Source organism: Homo sapiens, chromosome 2 (assembly GCF_000001405.40).
Source record: "Homo sapiens chromosome 2, GRCh38.p14 Primary Assembly".
NCBI lineage: Eukaryota > Metazoa > Chordata > Mammalia > Primates > Hominidae > Homo > Homo sapiens.
Window position 1 is genome coordinate 117,769,078 of NC_000002.12, and position 4,125 is coordinate 117,773,202.

The window sequence follows — 4,125 nt, forward strand, 5'->3', positions numbered from 1 at the left end:
TTTTCTAGTTCTTTTAATTGTGATGTTAGGGTGTCAATTTTGGATCTTTCCTGCTTTCTGTTGTGGGCATTTAGTGCTATACATTTCCCTCTACACACTGCTTTGAATGTGTCCCAGAGATTCTAGTATGTTGTGTCTTTGTTCTCGTTGGTTTCAAAGAACATCTTTATTTCTGCCTTCATTTCGTTATGTATCCAGTAGTCATTCAGGAGCAGGTTGTTCAGTTTCCATGTAGTTGAGCGGTTTTGAGTGAGTTTCTTAATCCTGAGTTTTAGTTTGATTGCACTGTGATCTGAGAGACAGTTTGTGATAATTTCTGTTCTTTCACATTTGCTGAGGAGAGCTTTACTTCCCACTATGTGGTCAATTTTGGAATAGGTGTGGTGTGGTGCTGAAAAAAATGTATATTCTGTTGATTTGGGGTGGAGAGTTCTGTAGATGTCTGTTAGGTCCGCTTGGTGCAGAGCTGAGTTCAATTCCTGAGTATCCTTGTTAACTTTCTGTCTCGTTGATCTGTCTAGTGTTGACAGTGGGGTGTTAAAGTCTCCCATTATTATTGTGTGGGAGTCCTAAGTCTCTTTGTAGGTCACTCAGGACTTGCTTTATGAATCTGGGTGCTCCTGTATTGGGTGCATATATATTTAGGATCAAACTTGTATTTTTAAACTCCAAGCTATTTACAGAAGACAGTTTACATCCAGAGCAGCCCAATGGTGTATGTCCTAGTTGATAAAGGAATTCAGTATCTGGAGATGTCAGGCAAAGTTCCAGTGAGGAAGGAGCACTAAGTGACTTTAAAAAGATAAAGAAGAAGAAGAAGAAGGGGGAAAGGGAAGAAAACCTCCCTCGTTCCTGAGGAAGCAGGACATAAAAACCACTGTGGGGTCACCCTGGTAAAGAGGGTACAAATGAATGAAATCCCTTTCTTTCCATGGATAAGTCAATAATGTGGTGGGTTTTCTTTCCAGGATAGAGGACAGAGAAGAAACCAAAGAGTTATGTAGTCAAGTTGTTGAATACTTTTAGCTGAGTAATATTGCCAGTGAGGGTTACAAACATGCTTTGATTTTCTCACAGACATTAAAAAACTATATTTAATCTAGCTTGGCTGCAGTAGAGTGGAGTAGATAGAAAAGGGGCACAAGTTTAGTGACCTCGCACCTGGCCATGTCCTAGAAAAGTGGTCAGATGGATAATGTACAGAGTAAAGCTCACTGGGTATAATACACAGATGCAGGCAGGAGACCAGCAACATGTACCTGAGAGGCAAATTTGACCCTTGGTCAGCCAAATTAAGACTTCTAGACCCAGAAGTTCTAGGGTGGTGGACATAATGGACTTGCATGGTGTGATGCTTAATTTTATGTGTTAACTTGACTGAGCCACAGAATGCCTAGATATTTGATGAAACATCATTTAAGCATGCCTGTGGGACTGTTTCTGGGTGAGATTAATGTTTGAATTGGTAGACTTAGTAAAGCAGATTACCCTACCTAATGTAGGTGAGCATTATCCAATCCCTTGAAGGCCTGAATAGAACAAAAAGAATAAATAAGAAAGAATTCTCTCTCTCTCCATCTGACTATCTTCAAACTGGGACATCAATCATTTTCTGTCTTCATACTCAAACTTAGATTGGAAATTACACCATCTACTCTCCTGGGACTTCAGCTGACTGACATCAGATCTTGGGACTTCTCAGTCTTCAAACCATGTGAGCCAATTCCATACATACAAACATACACACACACACACACACACAGACACACACACACACACACACACACCCTGTTGGTTTCTCTGGAGAAGCCTGACTAATATGCACAATGACCCTTGAGTGCATAAATCAGGTCCCACCAAGACAAACAAGTCAAGAGAGAGACAGATACAGACAAAGTAAACAAACAGAAATAGAGCAGACATACAGATACAGAGCAGCAAGACACACAGAGACAGAAAGGAACAGAACAGACAAAATCAAAGACAAACAGGCAAGACATCAAGAGAGCAGACAGACACAGAGACGTATACATAAACAGAAACAAAAACATAGACAAAGATAGAAAATGAGAAAAAATACAGTATTTCATGGTGTTCTCTGTGATTTCCTCATAGAGCTTTATTTCAGTGTTTCAGAAAGCACATCTAAGGAGAAGACAAGCCACATATATTTTAATCACACCTCTACCCTGTCTGAATCTTCTGTCAAATGTACCTGTCAGCGACTTACCTGAGCCGACTGCACAGTACCCAGGAAGAAATGATGAGCTCGGATATCTCACAGATACTCAGATACTAACCTGAAACTGCAAGAGAAGACTGAGACCTGGTCTCACCTTTGCAGATAACACTGTGTAAAGACAGCACACTGTAGACTGGGCATCTAAACAAGCTGCCAACTAGAGTCACCTGGGGAGCTGGCCCATGCCAGACCAATTAAATCAGAATCTCCAGGGCTGGGGCATTGGCATGTTTTTAAAGTACCTCAGGGAACCCAGGAAGCAAAAGTAGTTCTGCCATTTAAGGCCATATTCCTAGTTTGCATAGTTTAAACTTGAGTGAGAGCAACACAAGTGGCCAGATTTGCTGACATTTTTTTACCTGGGCACAGGACAGTTACCACTTGAAACCCATGAGGTCTACTTTCCATGCCACTTCCAAACCCCAAAAAGCATGGAATAATCACAAAAGCATGTTGTCACTGGGTAACCAGGCTAAATGCTCTACATATATCACCTCATTTAATCTTCACAGCATCTTGTGATGTAGAGATTATCTCCATTTTCCAGGTAACAAAATTGAAATCAGTGAGACGAAATCGTTTACCAAGGTTAAATAGGTAGGACGCAGCTAAGGCAGGATTTGCAACCAGATCTTCTGCTCTGCTGCATGGAAAACACACTGAGAGGAGACTCTTCGGTTTAGTCCTCTCATGCTTTGTGATGTCTCCTGCACAGATGGTGCTGACAATGAAAACCAGCATTGCCTTCTGCCAGAGCACAGGGCCACACACAGGAGGCACCTGGGACTTCTGTCTCAGTGACTTTATTCTGACCTCGCCAACTGTACAATACACTGTCACTTAGCTTAGCCTTGTCTGAGAGAAGACACAATTAGAGCAAGAGCCCACCAAGAGTAAGAGAGGGTGTAGGAGCTTAAGCTTCTTCATTGACTTTAATTAAGCTCACCAGAGAAGTAGATCGCAAGGGATCCCACAGAACTTTTTTTTAAAGTTTTATTTATATTATTCTTAATTCCAATTTAATGGAAAAAAAAATGTTTCCATTCAAACCTCTTCCACCAGTGTAGGGTTTTCTCTATCTATTAAGAAACAGTGCCATCTACTGACTCGTTTTCACTCTGGTTCTTGTAAACCAGGAAAAAAAAATTAATGTTGCTTATGCCTTAATTTTGAACACTTTCCAAGACATGTCCTTCCTTTCAAAATATCTGTTCTGCAGTTAAACCCATACATATTATTTTATTTCATAGCCACAAATGACAAATGGGTTTGGAATTAGACTGGGACTTTCAAGTAATATGTCTTGAAAAATGGAGTCTACAAATCAAGACTTTGTAAGGTGGGGCACCCAGATGGCAGGTGTTTAGATGTGAAGCTAGGAGGCCAAGGTGCCCTGCACAATGGTGACCTCACCTGTTCACCTAAGCCTGCTTGGGGGCTGTACAGCCAACCCAGAAGGGCATGAACCCTACATTCCAAAATATCAAATACCGAAGAATCAACTTGAAACTAGATACATTTTGACTGCTACACAGAAAAATGATAAAATATTACTAAGAGAAATTAAAGAATATCTAAATAAATGAAATTGGGGATTTCAATCCAAGGAATTGAACTGAATTGATTGAATGAAGGGATTTCTCAATACAAGGGACTCATTCACAACAAGGGTAAAATAGCCCCGAAAGGGAAAAGTGTTAGGTTTTAGGATGATAAAAAAATCTTCTTATATGCAAAGCAAAGATATACAGTATACCTGTGGTATTAAAATTTCACAGTAGGAGAAGTTAGGGAAAAAAGTAAAAAAAAAAAACCGGGGGGCTCCTTCAGTTTCAGGGGGAGCATAGGAAAAAAATTGGAAAGAACTGGATAGGAGGTTTAAA